The 27,324-nt window shown below is 42.8% G+C and overlaps 1 protein-coding gene across 2 annotated transcripts in view, besides 1 other annotated feature; it reads left to right on the plus strand.

The window, feature by feature from the left end:
• Positions 1–27,224, plus strand: part of MAP1B (microtubule associated protein 1B) — a 102,091-nt gene extending 74,867 nt beyond the window's left edge. For both annotated transcript variants that reach the window (NM_005909.5, NM_001324255.2), the window contains 5 exons: positions 1,402–1,484; positions 4,273–4,413; positions 11,525–18,026; positions 21,222–21,460; positions 22,743–27,224. In NM_005909.5, the coding sequence (NP_005900.2) occupies positions 1,402–1,484; positions 4,273–4,413; positions 11,525–18,026; positions 21,222–21,460; positions 22,743–22,898 (7,121 nt within the window). In that variant the 3' untranslated portion in view covers positions 22,899–27,224. The remainder of the gene's footprint in view (positions 1–1,401; positions 1,485–4,272; positions 4,414–11,524; positions 18,027–21,221; positions 21,461–22,742) is intronic.
• Positions 12,553–12,642: an enhancer, noted in NCBI's record as "active region_22644". NCBI's record gives its function as "activates an Ori minimal core promoter by ATAC-STARR-seq in GM12878 lymphoblastoid cells {active_cell/tissue: GM12878}" and the evidence as "EXISTENCE:reporter gene assay evidence [ECO:0000049][PMID:35858748]".
• Positions 27,225–27,324: the final 100 nt, after the last annotated feature.

The raw sequence follows: 27,324 nt of genomic DNA on the forward strand, positions 1-27,324 counted from the left end.
GTGTCTGGCTTATTTCATTTAGCATAATGTTTCCTAGGTTCATCCATGTTTTGGCATTATCAGAACTTCATTCATTTTTATGTTTGAATAATCTTCCATTGTATTGATATACCACATTTTACCCAATCATCAATAGATGGACATGTGGGTTGTCTTACCATTTGGCCATTGTGAATAATGCTACAATTAACATTGGCATACAAGCATCTGTTCGGGTTCCTGCTTTCAAATCCACCTGGAAGTGGGCTTGCTGGGTCATACAGTAATTCTATTTTAGCTTTTTGAAGAACTGGCCAACTATTTTTCTAGAAAACAGTTGCTTTTGGTCATTCTCTCCTCTTGTATTTCTCTCCTCTGGTGTCTGCCTCTCTCAGATTCTTTTCCATTTCCTCCTGCTGCCTGAGAGTCATTGTACTTCCAAGCAGCAGACATGTTTGTGTCTACCCTCCCAACCATGCGTCTCCCTCCCACATTTCGGAGAGAACACCCACTTCCCTGTCCTTAGCAGCTGCCCAAGCATGTATCACCAACTGGGCCACACATCTGCCTGATCATTTCATCCCATTGTCCAGGGAGGGGGAGTCTTCATAGAAGGTCATGCACAGGTCTCCATCCACTTTGGCTGGAGGGCTGGTTCAGCCACCGAATGACCCTAGGACCTGTGAGCAGGGGGAGTCAGCGTTGTGGAGCCACAGCCCCGCAGGGTTTCAGCCCTCCTTAGACAGGCGGTCATCACACCAACGCCTTGCTTTGTTGTTCTCTGTCCACTGTGCATGTTTTTAGGAGGCAGTTTGGCCACCCTGTTTCATGGGAGGGTTGTTCTCCACTTTTCATTTGCTTACGGTGTCTCCAGTTTCCTATGAGCAAGTGAATTAATTAATGAATACTCCAACAGACTGTAAGCCTGCCTCAGACAGCCATTCTGGTTGTTGGGCTAATTGTTAGCTGGGGTTTCTGGATGTCATTCATTTCACAATAAGGCTCCTAATTAATCTCAGTGCAGTTCTCACCAGAAGAAAGGCTGATACGGAGAAACATCCCCAATTACCATGAGAAAGGAAATGTCAAGAGCCCCGTTGAGTTTTCCTGGCACCCACCCTTGTCTCAGATGAAAACCGCCATTACCGCAAGGAGGCTGCCTAGACCGACCCTGAAAACTGGAGAGTGTGAGAGCGGGAGGAGCCCCCGACCACACAAACCCAGCCTGGGGAGGAACCTACTAGTGGCTGCACCCTCTTTTTTAATAGCACCAATTGTGTTTCCCAAGATGATGTAGAGAATTTCAGTGCTGTGTACCACGTCGGAGGCAGAAATTCCTCTGCTGTCCCAGGAGCAGGCAGGGCAGTTTTTATCTGGAAAAGCTAAAGGTCTCCTCTTTTGTTTGTGTTTTTGTGCCTGCAGGACAAAAGATCCTTCATCACCGAAGTGACGTTTTAGAAACAGTGGTCCTGATCAACCCTTCTGATGAAGCAGTCAGCACCGAGGTAAGCATTCAGCTCTGTAGAATCTGGGGCCGGGCCCCACACACTGGATAGGGACCCAGTGGATTAGAAGGGCTGGGCAAATGGGGGCAGGAGAGGGACACAACAGAGAGAAGTTCTGGGTTAAGAGGTCTTTCTCAACCCCCATTAAGTGGCTGGTTCCCTGCATCGGTACCATCCAGACCACTCCTCCTGATAAGGACAAAGAAGAAGATAGTAGCTGGAACTGTAAGATTTTGTCCAGGCAAGGGAGTATGAATTTGGGGTATTTATGCTGGGGGTGGTGGGGAGTGCTGCTGGGATGGAGTCTGATAGGGATGTATTAGGGAAAAGAGACGCAAGCCCTCAGGCCGCGACATACAGGGCAAACCTGGAGAAGAATGGCATCTCAAGAATGGCATCTCAATGCAAGCCCCATTCAGAGCTCTCCTGCACACTCCTATCGCTGTGGAAAGGCAGGCTAGCATAGTGGTCAGGAGCATGGGCTGGCACCAGGTCACCTGGGTTCATAATCCCACATCTGCCTCTTACTAGGTGGGAGCCTCAAGCAAGTTATTTACTGTCTTTGTCTCCGTTTGCACCTCTGTAAAATGGGGGTCATAATAGTTTCTACATTTAATGTTCATATTTAATGTTGTGCTTAGAAGTGCCAAGTGCTTAGAACAGAGCATGGCACATAATGACTGAAATGTAAATATTAGCTGTGATTGTTATTATTACCACCATATGAAACTGTTGCTATGGAGAGTCACTGGGTATTTTGGAGCCCAGTGTGACATAAGAACTTGGTTGAAGCCAAGAGTCCCTGGTCACCCAGGCCAGAGGAGTTGCTATCACTCCACTTTCCACTTCCTTTATTATAGTTGAGCGCTTTTGAGATAGAGTTGCTTCTCGGACATGAAAGCAGCCAAAGTCCCTGGGAACCTTCATTGTTTGCAGCGTCCCTTCTACCCACACTTTGAGCATCTCTGTGACTGTATCCTGTTTTTGTAAATGGAGATATAATTCAAGGACCATAAAATTCATCCCTTTAAAGTGTGTAATTTGGTGGTTTTTAGTGTATTTACAAAGTTTTGCAACCATCACCCTTATCTAATTCTAGAATACGTCTATCACGCCCCAAAAGCCCTGAGCTCATCAGCAGTCGGTCTCCATTCTTCCCCGATGCCGACAACTGCGAACCTGCCTGTCCTGATTTGCCAATTCTGGACATTTCATATAAATATAATGATATACTATGTGGCCTTGCGTGTCTGGCTTATTTTAGCCTAACAGTTTCAAGGTTCATCCATGTCGTAGCATGTGTCAGTACTGCATTCGTTTCCAGGCTGAACAGTGCCAGTGTATGGATAGCCCACATCTGTGTATCCATTCCTCAGTTGACGGACACTTGAGTTGCTTCCACTTTTTGGCTGTTGTGATGTCACCTGTCATGACTGACTTCTGCCTGCTTTAGATCAGCAGGACCTCTGACAATCCATGAAGGTGTGAAGCTGAGGAAAGTGATGGGATAGCAATCTCTGTTACTAACAGAATCGGGAAGTAATTACAGCTTGAAAAAAGCTGGAGAATTACAGCCTGGGCAACATGGTAAAACCCTGTCTCTACCAAAAATACAAAAAATTAGCCGGGCATGGTGTTGCATGCCTGTGGTCCCAGCTACTCAGGAGGCTGAGATGGAGGATTGTTTGAACCCAGGAGGCAGAGGTTGCAGTGAGCCGAGATGGCGCCACTGCACACTGCACTCCAGCCTGAGCAACAGAGTGAGACCCTGTCTCAAAAGGAGAAAAAAAAAAAAAAAAGCTGGAAAATTAATATATGTCCAGGCAAACTGCCCGGAAGAGTTGTGAGAAAGGAAAAATATGGAATTTTATAAAAGGAATCCAGGCTTGCCTGTGGAGCAGATGGGGCTGAAACAATTACTTAGGTACATGTGTTTTTTGCATGATTACACTGTGGGGTTCTTGGGTAAGGGGTCATGGTCTGTTTACTTTTGTATCCTCCCCTCAGTGCCTAACATGATGCCTGGCAAGTAGGATGTGCTGAACATTCATGAACTGGGCTCAGAATGGATACCTTGGTGCTTAGAGTGGTGTTTGCTGAAGGACAGCTGGCTTCCTGCCACTGAAAAGTGCACAGAGAGTTCCTTAGCGCAAACCATGTGCAATTATCTCAAAGATTGCTATTTAGGGGCAGCCTTTTCTTTATATTCAATGTCAAGCACCTTACTGATGCCACTGGAGACTGCCGTGGAGCTGTGTGTGTGCTTGCTGCACGCCTTGGAAGGGCATATGGGAGGGGTTGGTTTGGGACCCTAGTTTGGAACACCGTGCTTACTGAGGAGGCCACTGGGGAACCTGGACTGTACATGGTGATTCAGCCTGTGAGATAGTTCCGTCTTCCCTGGTTTCGCAGACCACGTGCTGCTAGCAGACATTTCTAACAGCTGTGGAACAAATGATTACCAGCTGTGAAGACTGCTTTGAAAAAGAGGAGGAAACTAGGGGGAGAAAGTCAACTATCGCTACTGTCGTGATTGTAGAGAAACTTTGAAAATGGCATTCTTGGGCAAACTGATAACTACACTTATTGGCTTTGTGGATGATCCTACAGCCAGGGATCCATTCAACCCTCCCGTGCTCTTCTGGCCTCCAGGAGAAATTAGACCTTTGGGGAATGAATGCTTTTTGCTGGTAATAAACTCCCATGGCTCCGAAGGCTAGCCCTGTCCTGAAGGTGGGATGGCAGCACTGCCCATGGCTCAGGGCCTACGTTCTGTGCTTTATTTCAGGTGCGCTTAATGATCACTGATGCTGCCCGACACAAGCTGCTCGTGCTGACCGGGCAGTGCTTTGAAAATACCGGAGAGCTCATTCTCCAGTCCGGCTCTTTCTCCTTCCAGAACTTCATAGAGATTTTCACCGATCAAGAGGTAGGTTCGTGTCTGAGAATATCTGTGCTTCTAGTGGCTTGGTTGCCTTAGGTTCCTCTTTGAGAGCACTGGGGGAGACAAAAGAAGAAGGGAGGGAACCTCACAGCTCTCCTGAAATAAGCAAAACTGCATGATCCAAAATACTTTATTTCTATGGCTCATTGCCAAAAGAATTTAGAGCACTCATTTACAATTAATTGGAATCATTCTTAATGTGCCTGAGATATAGATGGGAGGGGTTGGAACAGTCAACACTTTACAGATGGTAAAAATGATGGAGAAACTTGAAATGTCAGAGCCCAAAAGAAAACCTGCGTTTCCTGTTTTCTGAAATAATACTCCAAAGATATCTGGGGCTTTTGGCACCTCGTTTTCCAGGCCTAATTATTTCAGATTTCTTTTACTTTAATGCCTGGCCCCAGTGTTTGAACTTGGGCTGTTTGAACAGCCCACAAAAGAGAGAGGGCTTTACAAAAGGAGCCACGTAGGAAAATGGGGCACGTCTGTGACCCAAGAAAAAGATGGCTAAAGTAGCTGGACTGAAGCTGGATCATTCATATTTCTAATGCGTATCTTATTCAAAGATGACACATATAAAGTGTTGAAAACTGTGTGAAGTTAGTCGTATTTTGTAAAATGAGATCAAAGATTTTGATATGCTTATTTCTGCTTGGGAATTTATCCTGGCTGGGAAACTTTCCAAAGTAATGCACCTTGTTTATCTAGCTTACATGTTTATAGCAATTACAGAAACAATTCAGACCCATCCCCATAGCAGGTTGGGGCCTGCCTGTGGCCGATAGCAGATTTCTACATGGAGGGACTGAGGGATGTTCTGATAAGAAGAGTCCCCACATCTGTTTAAAACTGTCTTTCTGAGGTGGTGGCTTGTCTGTCTCATGTGTACTGTGAAGGGCCACGTGTCCTTCTGCACTTAATTTTCCTTGGCCCTGAGGTTCAGAGAAAGCTCTGTTTGTACTTTTCATCACTGGCAAGAACTGTAAGCACACTGCCCAACTTCATCTGAGTCACCTGGAGGCTTCTTTAAAAACACTGATCAGAAGGCATAATAATGTTCACTCTCCAGCCACTGGGGTGGGGAGAATGTAAAACTGTGAAAAGGAACATTTTTGAAGCCACAGCTGTCAGAAGGTGTGGCGTCATCTGCATCTTGAAACACATACCAGGATGGGATCCCCCAGGCAGGCAGCTCCTTTCTCAGAGGCTTCAGAGCTCACTCACAGTTGGTTCATCTTTACCACTTCAAAATGCAAGCTTTGGCTGTGTCTTCTTCCAAGGCCGCTAGAGTTCACGCATCTTGCCTCATTCATCTCGGTATCCATTGCACCTGCACATAGTAAAGGCCTAGTAAGCCGCTGTTCAATTGCATTGAAATTCCAAAGCTAGGGCTACAATTCTCACTCTGCCTACTGTCCTGAAGTTGTTGTTTGATCACTATAATGTCAGAATGTTTTGCAAGATTATGTCCCCATGTGCATGTTGTACCCGGAGGCAGGTGGGCATTTGTCTAGTAGCTCTGGGGTCACACACATTATTAGCATCTTGCCTCAGGGAAGAGAGAAAGCTGCAGAAGGCTGGAAGTGGCCCAATGACATGGTGAGCAGTTAAGTGGCCTGCTTATAGCTCATTTGCATGCACATGGGCACTTTCCACATTCCTGTGCAGTTCTGTAGTTATTTTCTAGTGGTTGGTTTCTACCCAAGTCATTGGTTTGTCTTTTTTGCCGAAAAACCAGACAAAGGAAATATGTAAAGAAAAGTGTCATTGCCAAGATTTTCAATAAGGAAGTAACACGATTTGGCATATTTGCATCTCAAATAATATCCCTCCTTCCCCTTCTTTAAATAAGGTTGTTATGAATATTGCTGCTTAATCATTTTTACTAGATTATGGAAGCAAAATTTTAGCACCATGGACTGTGCACGTGTCAGATTTTGCCACTAATTACAGAAAAAAAAATTTGCCCTAACTGAAGAACTCGAGTTCCGTGGAAGGGCAGATTCCCCAGGGTTTATACTTATTGGGGTAGGTTCTGGAGGACACATATTTTGATTATACTCAGGCAGGTATCATTATGGTCAGAGACCATGTCATATTCTCTTCTGCCACCCACAAAGAAAGGATGCCACAGCTAAAGTGAATTGAAAACCACTGGACTGGACCAGTGGTTATCAGCCTTTTGGAGCTAGGATTGCCCATTGTTGCCTTGGAAAAATGGTTGAGTAACTGAATAACAAACGGACCTTGAAGACCACTTGTTGTCCAGCTCTTTTCCTTTTATCCAGTCCTTGAAACATACTAGTTAACTCCAGGGAAACCAAAACCACAATTTGGGACAAACAAAAATGATACTTTTTAAAAAATATAAGAACAGCTAAAAATAAATGGACTGAAAAAATAGAACTATCAGTACACTTTGAGCTTCAGGTTTTGGAGTCTTAATCACTGGAGATCAATTAACAAAACCAGAACTAACAGACGGTACAATTGTCTGGCTAACCCCACTCCTCCCTGAAATCCAGGGATGGTGAAATCATCATCTCCTGGGGACATTTTTCAGTCTCTGTGTTGGAAAGTTTTTCCTTATTTGTCTCATTGTATCTTCAAGGAAGTGATGTGATCCCTTTCCCACCTACAGTGTCTTAGTTACCCTTCACCAACACTGCCGATTTTTTCCCTTTCAGATTAATCATCTTCAGTTTTACCCACAGTTCTTCATAACCCTGCTCACTGTCCTTCAAACTTGTTCCTCTGTCAAGAAAGGGAGGTGAAGGCCAGGTGCTATGGCCCATGCCTGTAATCCCAGTACTTTGGGAGGCCAGAGTGGGAGGATCACGTGCGGCTAGGAGTTCTAGGTTGCACTCAGTTATAATCTGCACTGCACTCCAACCTGGGCAACAGAGCAAGATTCTGTCTCTTAAAAAAAAAAAAACTATACTTAAAACATTAAAAAAATAAAATAAAAAGAAGAGGAGATGGGATGGGTATGGGGGGAATTCAGGAGTTTAGTCCTGGTCATGTTTTAGTGCCTTGAAATCAGACAGTTGGATTTATGAGAACAGAGCTCAGGGAACTCAGAGTCGGGCTGGAGATACTAATTTGAAATCCATTAGCATATTAGAGGTATTTGAAGCCCAGAAGACACATGATGTGACCTAGAGTGAGAAACATTTTAAGAAGAGAAAGGGCCCAGGTCCAGTGTTGACAGGTCATAAGGCCAAGAGGAAGGAGCCAGTAAGGGAGACTTGTTTCAGGTTTTTGCTTGTTGGTCTAATTTCTCTAAAATGTCATGACTCAAACTGGACACCCTATTCAGGAGTCATTTGACCAGGTTAGGATTGTGAGAGTTGATAATGTCTATAGTTTTCAATACCATCTTCTATTAAAGAAGTCTAAAAGTGACTTTTGACCATCACCATACACCATTAATGGTCAATGGGGAAGTCAATGGGGAAGAGATGCAGGCTTTGAGGGGCTCGACAATTTATATAATTTAAGGGCTCTTTTTTAAGAAAAATGAAACAATTATTAATATACAGTTAAGTACAGGGCCATGCCAATGAGGTACCTTGAAGTTTAAGCTTCTTTGGCTTCATGATAAATCCATTTGACTGTCAACTAAAATCCCTGAGTCTTTTCCATGGATATTATTGTTAAGCCACATCTCCCAATCCTGTAGTTTACCCTGCTGGTTTATTGAACCTTACATTTATCCCTTTAGAATGCCATCCTGTTAGAATTGACTTAGCCACCATCATCCCAATGTCAAGAGCTTTTATAAATACCTTAATTCTGCCATTCCACATTTTGCTGTGTCTCCCATTTTCATACCATGCACAAATATGATATGCATGCCTTCGCCATTTTTATCCAAGTGAATACAGGCCAGAAAATGAGACTTGAGGCAGCCCATCATAGACCTCCCTCCAGGTTGACATTAAGCAGCACTATTTATATGGCTGGCTGGAAATCCACCTAATTCTACTATCACACTGTTCAGGGGTCCTATTAAATGTCTGGCTAAAACCCAGAGATACACTGTCTACTGTATTTCCTCATCAGCCAAGCAAGTAACCTAATCAAAAAGGAAATGTAGTTCGTAGGCCATGGTTTAGAAATTCAAATCTTGTTTCATTAATCTCATCTGCAGTAAAACCATTTATTTCTTACATCTTCCTTCCTCTTCCAGTATGCCTGCATTTAATCAGAAAAAGTAATTAACAAAAAAGATTATCTTTGTCCCAAAGCATATTCCTCCTTGTTGCATCTGTCATCCAACTTTGTAAGAACCAGGGTAGCACTCAGTGTGGTTACATCTGAAGTACCCACTCCAGGAAGATAACATGTGTTGAACTGGCCAAGTTTGGCACACAGATCAACAAACATCTACTGAGCCTGATTATGTATTGAGGAAACAAAGATAACTAAGATACAAAGATACAGAAGATATATTTCCTGCTATCAGAAATGTTTAGAGTAGTGGGTTATAATAGTTACCATTTATCATGGTGATGATTTCCCAATTTGTTCAGAAGAAGCCTCAGTTTCCAAGTCTAAGAACTAGTCACAAGCTTCCTTGCCACTGCTAACATTGTTGGATCCTCCTTATGGTTCTCATCTATTCATTGAATAAGCTTGGTCAGGTGCTGCCGTGGGCTGGCCACTCTTAAGACCCTGTCTTTGCCCTTGAGGCACTCTCTACTGTGCTTGTTGGCCCACAGGTCTGGAAAGAGGCTGTGGGGGAAAACACGGGCTTCATTCTGTTGTGTAGTTCCAAGGATGTAGGAGTTGTTCTTCCTCCTCCTCCCTCTGCCCAATTCCATCTGTCTGTTTTATGACTGAGGGCTCTGTCCAGCCCTGTCTCTGCATTCTTGTCTCATCATTCAGAATGTGCTGCTGTTTCTTCAGAGGGACCAGATTTTCCTTCTCTGGAAAGAAACCTGTCAAAGCAATGCTGGCTTTCTTTTCTGCTTTGCCTTGTACATCACGGTTGTTCATTCACCAGTGTCTCTTGGCTATCTTTCATGACCTCTGACTTCTCAGAATTCTGTGCAATCTTGTTTTGTTTTGGGGTCATTTCCTGCATTTCATAGAAATTCTCTGGATAGAGGTGAAAAGACGGAAAGTAGGAAGATATTCCTTAAGTCTTTCTACCTTCTGCTTCAACCTGGTAATTACATACTTTACATAAAAAGAGCCAGTGATTGAATGCCCCCTACTCACAGCTGGATTATACCCTTGGCTGCCACACCTCTCAGCTAGGGTGGAATTTCAAAAATTAAAATGAACTAAACTTAATTTTTAAGTTTCACTATTAAAGATACAGCAGTTATTCTAGATTTGCCCCCTAAAACATATTATAAAACATGAATAGTTTGCATGTGCTTTGTGTGAAAATTGGGATCTAGAGACTTTTAATTGTGCTATAGTGATTGTGATGAGAGTCTCTGCTAACTATTGTACAAAAAACCATATTTGATGCCCTATGTTTGCTTTGGCCAGCAAATCATTTGAGCAAAGATGCCTGTCCCCTCTACCCAAAGATGGTATTACCATTTGCTTTTTCACTTTTCTTAGCTCCCAAAAACAGGAGTTGATTCTTATCCTTTTTACAGAAAATTGTGAAGTCACAGAAAAACAGCAAAGTTTTATTATTTTGTTATTTTGCGGCCCTTTACATAAAATGTTATGCTTAGGACTAATATGCTAACAAAACAAAAATGACTATTTTACTGCAATATTGCAGTCGAATATAGGAAAACTCAGATTCTATAAATTATTCTTACACACATTCATAATAGTAGCCTCAGAATGCTGATAGTCAGGAGATAGAGGAAACTAATCTAATACTAGAAGGTAAGAGTTCAGACCTGCTGGCTCAGGGATGCCTGGACCAAATGAAACCTTGGCTTTACCCCTTGATCATTTGTCATCCAGAATACAGAGCCCTTTTCAGTCGAAACTCTGAGCTGATTTGTGAGCTTTACTGAGACGGAAAGAATATTGGAGTTGATGGCATGATTCTCCATCACTAATTTGCTAGGCTAAGACCATGAAATATATGGCCATAATATGGAGTGAGAGAGACAAGTAGTGTTTTTATTAAACCACAATTTCTGTTTTGGTCCTGATTTGCTTTTCTATGTTTACATCCTTGGGAAGTACTAAACAATGTGTTGAAAAATGTTTCAGCCACATTTGATCTTAGCTGCTCACACCCAACTTGCCCTGAAAAGAATGGGAGCAGTAAGAGAACAGAGTGGCTCACTGTGGAGTTAAACATGAGCAAATGGGGAACGAACTTGGCCAAACCACTTTAATGTCATGGCTTTAATAAAAAAGTATTTGTATCTGCAGAGAATATGCTGGGTGACCCACTCATGTTTCAATCAGCGTGCACTGATGCCAGAAACCAGTAATTTTTTGTAGTAATAGGCAATCCGTAACTTCTTGTCTCCTATGGGGAAAAACCCACCAAGGTTTTTTCTTTTTTACATGCCAGATCCTGAAAGGAGGCCACAACAAGTGCCCTGTTAATCTGAATTTCTTTAAGGTATCCATCAGGCCTTTTTTTTTTTTTTTTTTGCCAAGTCTAGTGGAATAAAAGAAAATATTTTTTATTAGTGGTGAAATGACCCAGACAGCTTTCTCTTGTGATAGTTTAACGTTTTTTTTTAAAGGGCATCTTTGCCTTTATTCTAGGGGTAATATTCAAAGTGTTTCATAACCACTGCAGCACAATCCTCAGTTGCCCAGGTGGTCACTGGTGTTAGAACTGGAGCAGAGTACTGGCATTCCCCTGCTGGGCAGGAATAGATGGTGGAGGGGTTGTTGGGGAGGTGCCAGGGCGAGTGGGTACTGGTTGAGGTAGAAGCCAGTAGCAGCGGGGCTCAGGACAAAGGCTGTTCACCTTCCAGTAGGGAAGTATTTCAGCATTTAAGCAACCAACATCACTATGAGAGTGCATGTCTGAAACTGGTCCTATGTGCATCCTGTGATCCTGTAACACATAGTTATAGCTGGAGATGATGGATCAGTGATGATAATCACTTACACCTTTTCTTTCTTTCTTTCTTTCTTTAAAACCCAGATCGGGGAGTTACTAAGCACCACCCATCCTGCCAACAAAGCCAGCTTAACCCTGTTCTGTCCTGAAGAAGGGGACTGGAAGAACTCCAATCTTGACAGACACAATCTCCAAGACTTCATCAATATTAAACTCAATTCAGCTTCTATCTTGCCAGAAATGGAAGGACTTTCTGAGTTTACCGAGTATCTCTCAGAATCAGTGGAAGTCCCATCTCCCTTTGACATCTTGGAACCTCCCACATCGGGTGGATTTCTGAAGCTCTCCAAGCCCTGCTGTTATATTTTTCCAGGAGGGAGGGGCGATTCTGCCTTGTTTGCAGTGAATGGTTTCAATATGCTCATCAATGGCGGATCAGAGAGAAAATCCTGCTTCTGGAAGCTCATCCGACACTTAGACCGAGTGGACTCCATCCTGCTCACCCACATTGGGGATGACAATTTGCCTGGAATAAACAGCATGTTACAGCGGAAAATTGCAGAGCTCGAGGAAGAACAGTCCCAGGGCTCCACCACAAATAGTGACTGGATGAAAAACCTCATCTCCCCTGACTTAGGAGTTGTATTTCTCAATGTACCTGAAAATCTCAAAAATCCAGAGCCAAACATCAAGATGAAGAGAAGCATAGAAGAAGCCTGCTTCACTCTCCAGTACCTAAACAAATTGTCCATGAAACCAGAACCTCTGTTTAGAAGTGTAGGCAATACTATTGATCCTGTCATTCTTTTCCAAAAAATGGGAGTAGGTAAACTTGAGATGTATGTGCTTAATCCAGTCAAGAGCAGCAAGGAAATGCAGTATTTTATGCAGCAGTGGACTGGTACCAACAAAGACAAGGCTGAATTCATTCTGCCTAATGGTCAAGAAGTAGATCTCCCGATTTCCTACTTAACTTCAGTCTCATCTTTGATTGTGTGGCATCCAGCAAACCCTGCGGAGAAAATCATCCGAGTCCTGTTTCCTGGGAACAGCACCCAGTACAACATCCTGGAAGGGTTGGAAAAGCTCAAACATCTAGACTTTCTGAAGCAGCCACTGGCCACCCAAAAGGATCTCACTGGCCAGGTGCCCACTCCTGTGGTGAAACAAACAAAACTGAAACAGAGGGCTGATAGCCGAGAAAGTCTGAAGCCAGCCGCAAAACCACTTCCTAGCAAATCCGTGCGCAAGGAGTCAAAAGAAGAAACCCCTGAGGTCACAAAAGTGAATCACGTGGAAAAGCCACCCAAAGTTGAAAGCAAAGAAAAGGTAATGGTGAAAAAAGACAAGCCAATAAAAACAGAGACCAAACCTTCAGTGACTGAAAAGGAGGTTCCCAGCAAAGAAGAGCCATCTCCAGTGAAAGCCGAGGTGGCTGAGAAGCAAGCCACAGATGTCAAACCCAAAGCTGCCAAGGAGAAGACGGTGAAAAAGGAAACAAAGGTAAAGCCTGAAGACAAGAAAGAGGAGAAAGAAAAGCCAAAGAAAGAAGTGGCTAAAAAGGAGGACAAAACACCTATCAAGAAGGAGGAAAAACCAAAAAAGGAAGAGGTGAAAAAAGAAGTCAAAAAAGAGATCAAGAAAGAAGAGAAAAAAGAACCCAAGAAAGAGGTTAAGAAAGAAACACCGCCAAAGGAAGTCAAGAAGGAAGTTAAGAAGGAAGAGAAGAAGGAAGTGAAAAAGGAAGAAAAGGAACCCAAAAAAGAAATTAAGAAGCTCCCTAAAGACGCAAAGAAATCATCTACTCCTCTGTCTGAAGCAAAAAAACCAGCTGCTTTAAAACCAAAAGTACCCAAGAAGGAAGAGTCTGTCAAGAAAGATTCTGTTGCTGCCGGAAAGCCAAAGGAGAAGGGGAAAATAAAAGTCATTAAGAAGGAAGGCAAGGCCGCAGAGGCTGTCGCTGCAGCTGTCGGCACTGGAGCCACCACAGCAGCTGTCATGGCGGCAGCTGGAATAGCAGCCATTGGCCCTGCCAAAGAACTCGAAGCTGAGAGGTCCCTTATGTCATCTCCTGAGGATCTAACCAAGGACTTTGAAGAGTTAAAGGCTGAAGAGGTCGATGTAACAAAGGACATCAAGCCTCAGCTGGAGCTAATCGAAGACGAAGAGAAACTGAAGGAAACTGAGCCAGTCGAAGCCTACGTCATCCAGAAGGAGAGAGAAGTCACCAAAGGTCCTGCCGAGTCCCCTGATGAGGGAATCACTACCACTGAAGGGGAGGGCGAATGTGAACAGACACCTGAGGAGCTGGAGCCCGTCGAGAAGCAGGGAGTAGACGACATTGAAAAATTTGAAGATGAAGGAGCCGGTTTTGAAGAATCTTCAGAGACTGGAGACTATGAAGAGAAGGCAGAAACTGAGGAGGCTGAGGAGCCAGAAGAGGATGGGGAGGAACACGTATGTGTGAGCGCCTCCAAGCACAGCCCCACTGAGGATGAGGAAAGTGCCAAGGCGGAGGCTGATGCATACATCAGGGAGAAGAGGGAGTCTGTGGCCAGTGGGGATGACCGAGCCGAAGAAGACATGGATGAGGCCATTGAGAAAGGAGAGGCTGAACAATCTGAAGAGGAGGCTGATGAGGAGGACAAAGCTGAAGATGCCAGAGAGGAGGAATATGAGCCGGAAAAAATGGAAGCTGAAGACTATGTGATGGCTGTGGTCGACAAGGCTGCAGAGGCTGGTGGTGCCGAGGAGCAGTATGGATTCCTCACCACACCAACCAAGCAACTAGGAGCCCAGTCTCCTGGCCGAGAACCTGCATCTTCAATTCATGATGAGACTTTACCTGGAGGCTCAGAGAGCGAGGCCACCGCTTCTGATGAGGAGAATCGAGAAGACCAGCCTGAGGAATTCACTGCCACCTCTGGCTACACTCAGTCTACTATTGAGATATCCAGTGAGCCCACCCCCATGGATGAGATGTCTACCCCTCGAGACGTGATGAGTGATGAGACCAACAATGAAGAGACGGAGTCCCCTTCTCAGGAATTCGTAAATATCACCAAATATGAATCTTCATTGTATTCTCAGGAATACTCTAAACCTGCTGATGTTACACCGCTCAACGGATTTTCTGAAGGATCAAAAACAGATGCCACTGATGGCAAGGATTACAATGCTTCAGCCTCTACCATATCACCACCCTCTTCCATGGAGGAAGACAAATTCAGCAGATCTGCTTTACGTGATGCTTACTGCTCTGAAGTGAAAGCCAGCACCACTTTGGACATCAAAGATAGCATCTCAGCTGTTTCAAGTGAAAAGGTCAGCCCATCGAAGAGCCCGTCCCTGAGTCCATCTCCACCATCACCCTTAGAAAAGACCCCCCTGGGTGAACGTAGTGTGAACTTCTCTCTGACGCCCAATGAGATTAAAGTCTCTGCAGAGGCAGAAGTAGCCCCGGTGTCTCCTGAGGTGACCCAAGAAGTAGTTGAAGAACATTGTGCTAGTCCTGAGGACAAGACTCTGGAAGTGGTGTCACCATCTCAGTCCGTGACTGGCAGTGCTGGTCACACACCTTACTATCAATCTCCTACTGACGAGAAATCCAGTCATCTCCCTACAGAAGTCATTGAAAAACCACCAGCAGTTCCAGTGAGTTTTGAATTCAGTGATGCCAAAGATGAGAATGAAAGGGCTTCAGTAAGCCCCATGGATGAGCCCGTGCCTGACTCAGAGTCTCCTATTGAAAAAGTTTTGTCTCCTTTACGCAGCCCGCCCCTCATTGGATCCGAGTCTGCTTATGAAAGTTTTCTAAGTGCTGATGACAAGGCTTCTGGCAGAGGTGCCGAAAGTCCTTTTGAAGAAAAGAGTGGAAAACAAGGCTCTCCAGACCAAGTAAGTCCAGTTTCTGAAATGACTTCTACTAGTCTTTACCAAGACAAACAGGAAGGGAAAAGCACAGACTTTGCACCAATAAAAGAAGACTTTGGCCAAGAAAAGAAAACTGATGATGTTGAAGCCATGAGTTCTCAACCAGCACTGGCTCTGGATGAAAGGAAATTAGGAGATGTTTCTCCCACACAAATAGATGTCAGTCAGTTTGGATCTTTTAAAGAAGACACTAAGATGTCCATTTCTGAAGGTACTGTCTCAGACAAGTCAGCTACTCCTGTTGATGAGGGCGTAGCAGAAGACACGTACTCTCATATGGAGGGTGTGGCCTCAGTGTCCACAGCCTCAGTGGCTACGAGCTCATTTCCAGAGCCAACAACAGATGATGTGTCTCCATCTCTGCATGCTGAGGTTGGCTCCCCACATTCCACAGAAGTAGATGACTCCCTTTCAGTGTCTGTTGTGCAAACACCTACCACATTCCAGGAAACAGAAATGTCTCCATCTAAAGAAGAATGCCCAAGACCGATGTCAATTTCTCCACCAGATTTCTCCCCTAAAACTGCAAAGTCCAGGACACCCGTTCAAGATCACAGATCTGAACAGTCCTCAATGTCTATTGAATTTGGCCAAGAATCTCCTGAGCAATCCCTTGCTATGGACTTCAGTCGACAGTCTCCAGATCACCCTACAGTGGGTGCAGGCGTGCTTCACATCACTGAAAATGGGCCAACTGAAGTGGACTACAGTCCTTCTGACATGCAGGACTCCAGTTTATCACATAAGATACCACCTATGGAGGAGCCGTCCTACACCCAAGATAATGATCTTTCTGAGCTCATCTCAGTATCTCAGGTAGAGGCCTCCCCGTCCACCTCTTCTGCTCATACCCCTTCTCAGATCGCTTCTCCTCTCCAAGAAGATACTCTATCCGATGTTGCTCCTCCCAGAGATATGTCCTTATATGCCTCACTCACCTCTGAAAAAGTGCAAAGTCTGGAAGGAGAGAAGCTCTCTCCAAAATCTGATATCTCTCCACTCACCCCACGAGAGTCCTCTCCTTTATATTCACCTACTTTTTCAGATTCTACCTCTGCAGTCAAAGAGAAAACAGCAACTTGCCACAGTTCCTCTTCTCCACCAATAGATGCAGCATCCGCAGAGCCCTATGGCTTCCGTGCCTCAGTGTTATTCGATACAATGCAACACCATCTAGCCTTGAATAGAGATTTGTCCACACCTGGCCTGGAGAAGGACAGTGGAGGGAAGACACCTGGTGACTTTAGCTATGCCTATCAAAAGCCTGAGGAAACAACCAGGTCCCCAGATGAAGAAGATTATGACTATGAGTCTTATGAGAAGACCACCCGGACCTCAGATGTGGGTGGCTATTACTATGAGAAGATAGAGAGAACCACAAAATCTCCAAGTGACAGTGGCTACTCCTATGAGACCATTGGGAAAACTACCAAGACCCCTGAAGATGGTGACTATTCCTATGAAATTATTGAGAAGACCACACGGACCCCTGAAGAGGGTGGGTACTCATATGACATAAGTGAAAAGACCACCAGCCCCCCCGAAGTGAGTGGTTACAGCTATGAAAAGACTGAGAGGTCTAGAAGGCTTCTGGATGACATCAGCAATGGCTATGATGACTCTGAGGATGGTGGCCACACACTTGGGGACCCCAGCTACTCTTATGAAACCACTGAGAAAATTACCAGTTTCCCTGAGTCTGAAGGTTATTCCTATGAGACATCTACAAAGACAACACGAACCCCTGATACTTCCACATACTGTTACGAGACTGCAGAGAAAATCACTAGAACCCCTCAGGCATCCACATATTCCTACGAGACTTCAGACCTATGCTACACTGCAGAAAAGAAGTCCCCCTCAGAAGCCCGTCAGGATGTCGATTTATGCCTCGTGTCCTCTTGTGAATACAAGCACCCCAAGACAGAGCTTTCACCCTCTTTCATTAATCCCAATCCTCTTGAGTGGTTTGCCAGTGAAGAACCCACTGAAGAATCTGAAAAGCCCCTCACTCAATCAGGGGGAGCCCCACCGCCTCCAGGAGGAAAGCAACAGGGCCGACAGTGTGATGAAACCCCTCCCACCTCAGTCAGCGAGTCAGCCCCATCCCAGACCGACTCTGATGTTCCCCCGGAGACTGAAGAGTGCCCCTCCATCACGGCCGATGCCAATATCGACTCTGAAGACGAGTCGGAAACCATCCCCACAGACAAAACTGTCACGTACAAACACATGGACCCACCTCCAGCTCCCGTGCAAGACCGCAGCCCTTCGCCACGCCACCCTGATGTGTCCATGGTGGACCCAGAGGCCTTGGCCATTGAGCAGAACCTGGGCAAAGCTCTAAAGAAAGATCTGAAAGAGAAGACCAAAACCAAAAAGCCAGGTACAAAGACCAAGTCATCTTCACCTGTCAAAAAGAGTGATGGGAAGTCTAAGCCCTTGGCAGCTTCACCAAAACCAGCGGGCTTGAAAGAATCCTCGGATAAAGTGTCCAGGGTGGCTTCTCCTAAGAAGAAAGAATCTGTGGAAAAGGCAGCAAAACCCACCACCACTCCTGAGGTCAAAGCTGCACGTGGGGAAGAGAAAGACAAGGAGACCAAGAATGCTGCCAATGCCTCTGCATCCAAGTCGGCCAAGACCGCCACTGCAGGTAGGTTGAGAAGGCTGGGCATTGGATATATGTCACAACCATTCTACTTGCGTTTACAGCCTTTATATTTCCCTGTTTGGCTTTGTACTGGGAAGATGAGGGAGCACAATTGATGCTTTACCTTCCCTGTACTCTTCTCCTCTGCCCAAAGGTATATATCTCAGTCCAGTGTGGCCTTAAGGCTTGGAAATAGCTCAGTGTATGGTTCAAAGCAGCTGTGATTCATCACTGGGATTCCTGATTTTGTGCCGTTTTCGAACACAGCAACTACAGCCCTGTTCTAAATCTTCAGAACCAAGGATGTGTCTTTCAGGTGCTTCTGGAAGACTGGTTTCAGCCATACTGGCCTCAGAATCCAGCAGGGTAACACAGGCCAGGAGCTCCCAAAGGCCTAAGGAGAACCAGAGGTTTCACATCAAGACTGGATCAACCAGTCTAGACCCAAGATTTAGAGTCCTTTTTTAAAAAAAATTTTTTTTAAATTAAAAATGTTTACATTTTTATTTAAAACATCACCAGGTTGGAGATAAATCCTCATTAAAGGCAGTGTTCCATTTTCTTATCAGCCAAAAAATACTATAATTTCAGTTGACCAGTGAGTGTCCGGTGAAAATTGAGAGAAAAACATTGATGGCTCTGCTCTTACCCTTCTCTTACCCCATGGCCTCATTAGTAGAGACTCAATGCTATTTCAGATTAAAATTCCACTGGGAAGCTAGATGCATGGCCTCATGCCTGTAATTTCAGCACTTTGGGAGGCTGAGATGGAAGGTTAGCTTCAGCCCAGGAAGTTGAGACCAGCCTGTGCAACATAGCAAGACCCTGTCTCCACAAAAAAAAAAAAATGTTTTTTAATTAGCTGGGTGTGGTGGCACGTGCTTATAGTCTTAGCTACTTGGGAGGCTGAGGCAGGAGGATCACTTCAGCCCAAGAGATCAAGGCTGCAGTGAGCCAGAATTGTATGTATCACTGCATGCCAAGCCTGGGTGACAGAGCAAGACCCTGTCTCTCAAAAATAAATAAATAAGCAAATGAAATGCCACTTGGCAAGAGCAGGTATCCCTGATTTTTGATCATTCATGTTTTTGGTCATGATTCTCAGATTTATCAGGTTCTCAGCAATGACCTGGGCTTTTGATGGAACTGGTCTATGGCAGTACTGCTTCATTTTGTTGCTTCACATCAATCACAAGGATTGGCATTCATACATTTTATTTGCTTTAGGTAATTATTCAGAGATTTTTAGATCACAATTCACAAAGTAATGTAAATGGACCCAAACATGTAAGGCACAACATAATTTAAATAACATTGCCCTGATTTATTAGGGAAAATCTGATAGAGTAATCTTTGGAGCTCTCCAATTAAGTACACTTTAGGATACATTTGTTAAAACTGCAAATTTTTACTTTAAACAATATGGAGTATCAATTTTAAGGCTCAGTTCTCAGCACATTTGGCCTTTCTACATGCACATAGAAAATAATCGGAATTTTTTCATGTTTAAAATGAATGAAAAACCACCAGATAATTAACCCTTTCATCTGAAAGAGTTGACAACTGACCTGCACTTAGGAGAAAACATGAAATCCATTTAAACAGATAAAACCAACTGCAAATTTGCCAGAACATATACATCCTAGCCCACACAATTTTTAAAAAAACTTTTTTTGGACATTTAAAGAGGTAATTTAAAGGCAAAGTAATAAGTGAAAATGAGTTAATTTTCATTTATTTTGGAGATGCTTTTAGATGTCTAAAAAGGCAAAGTTGCAGTACTAATTGACTTTTAAAGCAAACCTGGGCAGTTCTGTCAGTTTGTGCTTCTGTGAGCAATATTCATTTGATGTTGATGGTAGTGATTTAGAGTAGAGGGCGAAATTGGCAGACATGTTTAATTACTGGAAGAACTGTAACTCACAAACTTCTAGTACAAGTCAGAATTCTTTAGGAATTCTTTGGATATTTTGAGGGCTTTCGGCTCAGATTCATTAAAATAAACTATTGATCTATTCATAGAATGAATTAGCTTATCCAATTATTACTTTGGCTGATTCTCACCACTCCCTAACCTCTCTAAAAATAAAACTGTACAGTTGATAGAATTAGCTGGTGGTTTTCAATCTGGGATGATAGTCTTTAAATATCCTATGGAGAAAGAGGATTAAGCATGTAAAATCTAGCTGGTGTTTTAATTGGCTTTACAGCAATGAAACCAGCTGCATATTAGAATCGCCTGGGGTGCTTTTAAAAGACAGTAGTTCCAGGCCCCAACCCAAGCCCACTTAAGTCAGACTCTAGAGAATGAGGCCTGGGTGTCAGTATTAAGCATCCGAGGTGATTCTGATTATATAGTCAGGCTGAAGAACCACTGCCTCAAAATGCTAGTTCTATTAACATTTCAAAAGCTTTAAACTTCCTAACTGGAACAAGTTAGTTTTCCCAGACCTTTGTGATTTGACTGGGGGTTTTGGTTGCAGTCTGATATGTCCTGATTAGCTAGAGAAAGCCTAGTCTTTCTGAACCTTCCTTTGCCCAAGTTTGGCATCCAGCCTTGTCTAGGGAAAGAAGTATCACTTTTCAGAATACTGTGCTAAGGAGAGAATATGGTGTTTCATCAGTTTATGAATGAGATGGAGGTGCTGAGGGCCTTGGAAATCATATGGGGTTAAGATCAAAACTATTTGCTAGGTAGAATGTTAGGGTATAATATCCAGCTGTGGACAAAATTGCTATCAATGAGACCCTAAAATAGAGCACTAAGATCACTTAGCTATGTTTTGCCAAATACAGACGTTTTCTTTTGACTTTTAAAATCTACTTCTTAGATCACTTATCAAATAAAGAAACACATTAACAACTTCTTTAGGAGGAGTATTATATCTAGTGCCATCTTGGGAAAGGCCTTCAAACTCTTCTTGCTTCCTAATATTGGTTGTCCACAAAGGGAAACTATCCCATTCTTCATTTCTCCTATTGAGGTGGTAAACAACCATGTTATGTTTTGTCACATTGCTAGCGTAAATGCCCTTGACAGATTACCAGGGAGATGGAAATGCTGTCACCACTTTGCATGTCTCAGAGGACCTACTTGTGATTGAATAGGGAAGGTGTGATTGAGTGGGGAACATGTGCTGGATGTATGGTCTCTTCACCTTGCTATGACCTTGCTTTGTCTTTGTTTATTTACCCAAGGACCAGGAACTACCAAGACGACCAAGTCATCTGCTGTGCCCCCAGGCCTCCCTGTGTATTTGGACCTGTGCTACATTCCTAACCACAGCAATAGTAAGAATGTTGATGTGGAATTTTTCAAGAGAGTGCGGTCTTCCTACTACGTGGTGAGTGGGAATGACCCTGCTGCTGAGGAGCCCAGCCGGGCTGTCCTGGACGCTTTGTTGGAAGGAAAGGCTCAGTGGGGCAGCAACATGCAGGTGAGAACTCCTCGACAGTGTCTGCACTGCCGATTGAGCTGTGTCCAGAGGCAATGGGAAGGAACCATGTTTAAAGAGGCACCTCATGTGGCTGATCGTGGATCCACATGAGGTGCCTCCTGTGTCTGTCACACACGAAATATCCTGAGAACAAAGTCAGTTTAACACACAGTAGGTAGTCTGAAATAATATTCTTGGCACCACCACCAACCACGGCCTTGGAGGAAAGACACCTTAACTAAAGCAGAAACCATTTATCTGCAAAATGGGCCTAAGATTAATTGCCCTTCCTCCAGTATGCCAAGAGTCTTGTGTGTGTGAATCAAAGCGGTCATATTTCCATATGAGAGCTCCTGAGGAATTGCCTTTCTTCCTTTGTGTTTTATGAGTAGACTGCGGCTAGGAATATGGCCATTTAGAAAAACAGCTCTCCATGTGAAATTCCACAGCAGGAGCATTGCTGAATATAGTCCCTCACAGGACACTCCCAACTCCCAAACATCATGCCTGACCACAAACCATCCCTTATTTATTTAATGACAGGGTCTCCCTATGTTGCCCAGGCTGGTCTCGAACTCCTGGCCTTAAATGATTCTTAGAACCAGCTATTATTAATTCAGCTGTGATCTTTGCTTATCAAGTTTTATTTGTGGTTCTGTACAAAATTACCTAGTAAATTGTGCTTGTATCATATTATATAGAATTACTTGTTATTTAATCATATGAAATCTAATGAGAGGCACCCAGTGGCTCCCTACTGAATGCTAGATGGAATTTATACTATTCAGGACATTACTTACCCACCCCATACCTCCATCCCCAACCACACACATAAAGTAAAGGTGCAGATCTTTGTTCTCAGGACAAAATGTTAGTTACTCACAATGAGTGGGCTTTTGAGGGCTTTGAAGTGCGCGATAAAATCCTTGGATTAAATATGCAATATCTTTTATGCAAAACTTACCAGTTGTGTTAAAGGAAATACAAAAAATTGTACCCTAACGGAAGCACTTCTCTTAACAGTAAAGAACTGAGAAACTGATTAATTGCTTTTTGGTTCCAGCCTTCAGTTTCCCTTAGAAACAATAGCTTTTCTTTGCAGCTTTATTCTGGTTCCTGGAAAATATACATTGAAAAATCCTTTGCATTTCTTGAGGAAAATAGAAAAGTTTTCTCTCATTTCCCTTCTTCTTCCAGTGGTCTAATACCTTGCTATTCAATTTTTTTCATATGGTTTCTGTTTCTGCCCTTAAATAGCTATTTTTTTTTTCTCTCCCTGCAGGTGACACTGATCCCAACTCATGACTCAGAAGTGATGAGGGAATGGTACCAGGAGACCCATGAGAAACAGCAAGATCTCAACATCATGGTTTTAGCAAGCAGCAGCACAGTGGTTATGCAAGATGAATCCTTCCCTGCATGCAAGATTGAACTGTAAAAACCAAGGCCAGCCACACCACAGGATCTGAACTTTGTTTCCAGAAATTCTTCAATTTGAAATCACCTTTTCTAAAAAGTCAATTCATCTAGTTAAGTCGCTGAACAATTACCTGCCAAATGCTATACTGTGTCATGGTGATGCAAGTCACTAAATTTCTCAGTTTTTGCTGATTGCTAAGGGAAATAACAGTATTTCCACAATAGGGTTCAAATTCCTGCAAAATTACCTACCCCAGTTCATCTCTGCTGAACATTTGGAAACCATGCACTAGCCAACCCAACTGACTTCTGCTAGGTAGAGGCATTTGTCTTAGAGAGAGAGAGAGCGCGGGAGAGAGTGAGAGAGAGTGAGAGCACAAAGATAACGCAGGAGAGAGAGAGAGAAAGAATGAGAAAGAAAAGGAATGCAAGAGAAGGAGATGTAATGACAGAGAGTTCTGGTGAGATACCCAGAGAGAAAAAGAGAGAGCAGGGTGGGGTAAGGAGGAGAAAATAAACCAACAATTAGGTCTGCATTTTCTCAGGCAGTAGGCATTCTTTAGTCTACATAGGCAAAGTTTTCCATTTTTGTCAGTCTGAGTCATCAAAAAGAGTCTTAATTTTCTAAAACAAGTTGGCTAGAAGAAAGTAAAAAGAACAACACTTGTTATGAGGGCATGTGATATTTTCACATCTTAATTAAGCTCCTTCAGTTTGAAGGCTGCACACTGACATAATGTAGTGAGTGTAGACTGGCCATGCAAGTGGTTTGGGCCCCATTCAGAACTCTCAGACTCTAAACACACAAGTAGATTGATCTAAGGCATGCTCCCAGCATTTGTCCACCCACTTAGTCCACTCTGAGTCGATTAACCTGCATGCAGCAACACCCAAGTCCACCCCAATTAACTGAAGCAAATACCAAAGCAGTTGGGAGTACATATGGTAGACAATTTGCCTTAGGAAGTGACTTGAATGTACAAAGATACTTGATGCACTTATTTTTTAATGTGAGACAGCAAGTTTATAAAACATCCATATAGGATTATAGATACTTAAAGGAACACGTGGGTGAGCGTGTGTGGGGGTACTAGAAGCTGATCTGATTGGTCCAACAGTTTGATGCTGAGTCATGCGTGTTGAATCCCACTTCAGTGCACCTGTGGCCTCTCAGTCAAACAAGTTGTGCCTTTCACAGCTTCTTTACTACTGCAAGTTCAAGACTGAAATGGCTTCTATGATCAGAACTGGGAAAACAGTGAATCTTATGGTGGAAGAGGTTCTCAGCAAGTGTACAGTATTTACCTTCCTTTGTCTTACATTGGCTTTTTAAATTTTCCATTAATTTCAACATAATTATGGGAACAAGTGTACAGAAGAATTTTTTTTTTAAGATATGTGAGAACTTTTCATAGATGAACTTTTTAACAAATGTTTTCATTTACAGGAAATTGCAAAGAAAATTCTCAAGTGATAGTCTTTTTTTTTAAGTGTTTCGTAAGACAAAAATTGAATAATGTTTTTTGAAGTTCTGGCAAGATTGAAGTCTGATATTGCAGTAATGATATTTATTAAAAACCCATAACTACCAGGAATAATGATACCTCCCACCCCTTGATTCCCATAACATAAAAGTGCTACTTGAGAGTGGGGGAGAATGGCATGGTAGGCTACTTTTCAGGGCCTTGACAAGTACATCACCCAGTGGTATCCTACATACTTCTTTCAAGATCTTCAACCATGAGGTAAAAGAGCCAAGTTCAAAGAACCCTAGCACAAATTTGCTTTGGGATTTTCTTTTCTGGAAAAAAAAAATAAAAGAAATAGTACATTGAAAACAAATGAATTCTCAACTCCTACGGTTCATGTAGAGTTTAGAGAAAATTTCCATCATTGTCATCATTGAACTGTGAACCTGGGAAGCCAGATCATGATTAACACTGACATCAAGTTTCAAGTTGCAGATCAATGCACCCAGTGTTCAGATGAGGCAAACTTCTCCGTGACAACTGTGCTGTGCTCTGTCACATTACATTTCCTGCAGACTCTAAGATCTACGGAGTAGAGAACAATGACCTCATTTTATTTTCTATGTTAGTTATTTATTTCAAAATTAACATTTTAGTTGATTTTTGTCTGATAAGTCTATGTTTTGCACTGCTAACTATGATGAGGGTTTAAAAAAATGCTTCTTCAGGGTCCTTTCACTGAGGACCTATGCAGTCTACTTAATGCTGTGAATTACATTTTTCAAATGTTTAATTTTTTAAAGAAAATTAATATTCTATTTTTGTTAGGCTTCTCTAGAAATGCAGCTTTTATTTATTACCCCATTTCTTTCAAGTCCTTGGAAAATAACATATTAAGGGTACAAGAAATTAACACATGATGGAAAAGTCATTGTGACGCCAATGAATTTCATTGAGTATAAACTCATCTACTTCAAATTTATTTTATAACACAACCTAAGATACTCAAGATAATTATTTAATGGTTAGCTCTTAAGTTGAATTGGTCTACATAATGCGTGGGAAGAAAACCAGATTTTTAGCCTTCTTGCCAAATCCAGACCTCTGGTTGATTTTTCTTTGACAGAAGATGCAAGTTATTTTCCAATTTCACAATTAAATGTATTTAACCTGAACATTATTTTGCTTTAAAAACTATAAACATTGTAGGAGAATTATAGCCAGTCTTCAGTTATAACCACTCCACCCTCCTCACTTTCTCTCTCTCTCTCTCTTTTTTTTTTTTTTTTTTTTTGCTATGGGATTTAATGGGAAAAATATGTAAAAACTGTCACTAGTCAGCTGGCTCTTTTTCCTATGAAATCTATCAGTACCTTTCTCCATCCGTTGTTCTCAATATGACCACAGAGCCTGAGTATACCAAGAAAACCAATATTCGCATTACAGGTTGCTCCTGTCCTTCCAGACACCTTTCCTGCCTGTGTGACTAACCTAATTTTGCTAGTTCCATAAATACACGATTAGTTTAGTAACAGCCATCACAATGTACCATGTACATTCATGGTGAGAGCTAAAGATCGACACAGACTTCTAGGAGCTTTGTTCATACTGATTACTTAATCCAATTGTATAGATTGAATATTTGAGTGGAAGGAATTTACACTCTGTTTAAATGATGGGATTCTATCGAGATAGCACTCATGATCATGACCTTTTTGGTAGTATTCTTAAACAAAATTCTACAGAGACTAAATGTTAGCGATGATCCTCCATTTTCAATTTTAACCAATTCTGTCCCCTTTCTCAAAACCCTGAGCCCTGTGCATGCTTTCTCAGTCTTGTGGTGGGACTGGATACAATGACTAACTTCCCCTCCTCCCCTCTTTAAACACCATTTTCCATGGAGTTCAAAAAAATTTTTTTTCTTAACGTTACATATCATAGTGAATGGTTTCCCCAGTGTATATGAATGTTTTAAGTGTCTCCAATAGCTTATGCAGTCTAGGAGCTTTCCAATACTCATTTAATTAAGATTTAATCATTTGCTAATGGAAATCTTACCACCTTTCATTTTCCCTCTGTTACCAAATTTCAGCTCTTAGGAGCTGCTCTACAATTCTGAATTTGCTTTTCTTGCCTCTCTTTAGTCACCTGTCACAGGAGGTTCCTGCTCAGTAATGATATTGTGAGTTAGGATAATAACTTTTTTTTTTTGTGCTTCAGATTTAGAAGAAAAGATCCTGTTTCCATTTGAAAGGAACTGTAAGCTTTTATCTTTTAACCAACTGAACAATACACCAAAAGCAGCCTAGGGATGAGCATTTCTTTGAAAGCAATTAGGTTATTCACCTGGTATTAAAACTATTTACTGTTAAAAAATCTGTGACTTCATGAAGTTGATTTTTAAAGGCAGCATCAAAAACTGAAAAGGAAGGGAAAAAATAGGCAGCTTCTCTGCACTTGTTTGGAGCTCCCCAAAACAGGAGCCATGGAGAAGTGGCATCAAGACCGGGCTGCCCTTTCGAGAACACCCTGTGGCAGTTCAGAGACACGCTTTTCCTACACTGCATGCAGCCCCTCTTTCCAGCACTGGAAAGAAGTGGTCTTGAGCCCAGCTGAGAAGCACTTCACACTCCTCTCTCTTGTTCTGAATGGTGTTTGTGTCAGTCTGCAGCTGTGTATGGTATTATGTCTTATAATCCTGCATCACTTCTATCCTATCCAGTCATATCTAATGTAGAAAATTAGTTTCCAGTGAAAGTAATATGTAGTGCTTTTATGATATTTGTGTGCAATATCCCCTCTTCCATTGAGGATATTTGATGTAAAGGAAAAAAAAAAACTCAGTTCCACAATAAAATACAAAAGTGGCAAAAGTTCATGTGTGTGCTGTGCTGTCTTTTGCTTTGTGTTCCTGAGTTGGGCTTTGCCACTCACGCAGAATGCTGGGCAGTCAGGGCATGACGGCAGGGGGTG

This window comes from Homo sapiens, chromosome 5, assembly GCF_000001405.40.
Source record: "Homo sapiens chromosome 5, GRCh38.p14 Primary Assembly".
Lineage (NCBI taxonomy): Eukaryota > Metazoa > Chordata > Mammalia > Primates > Hominidae > Homo > Homo sapiens.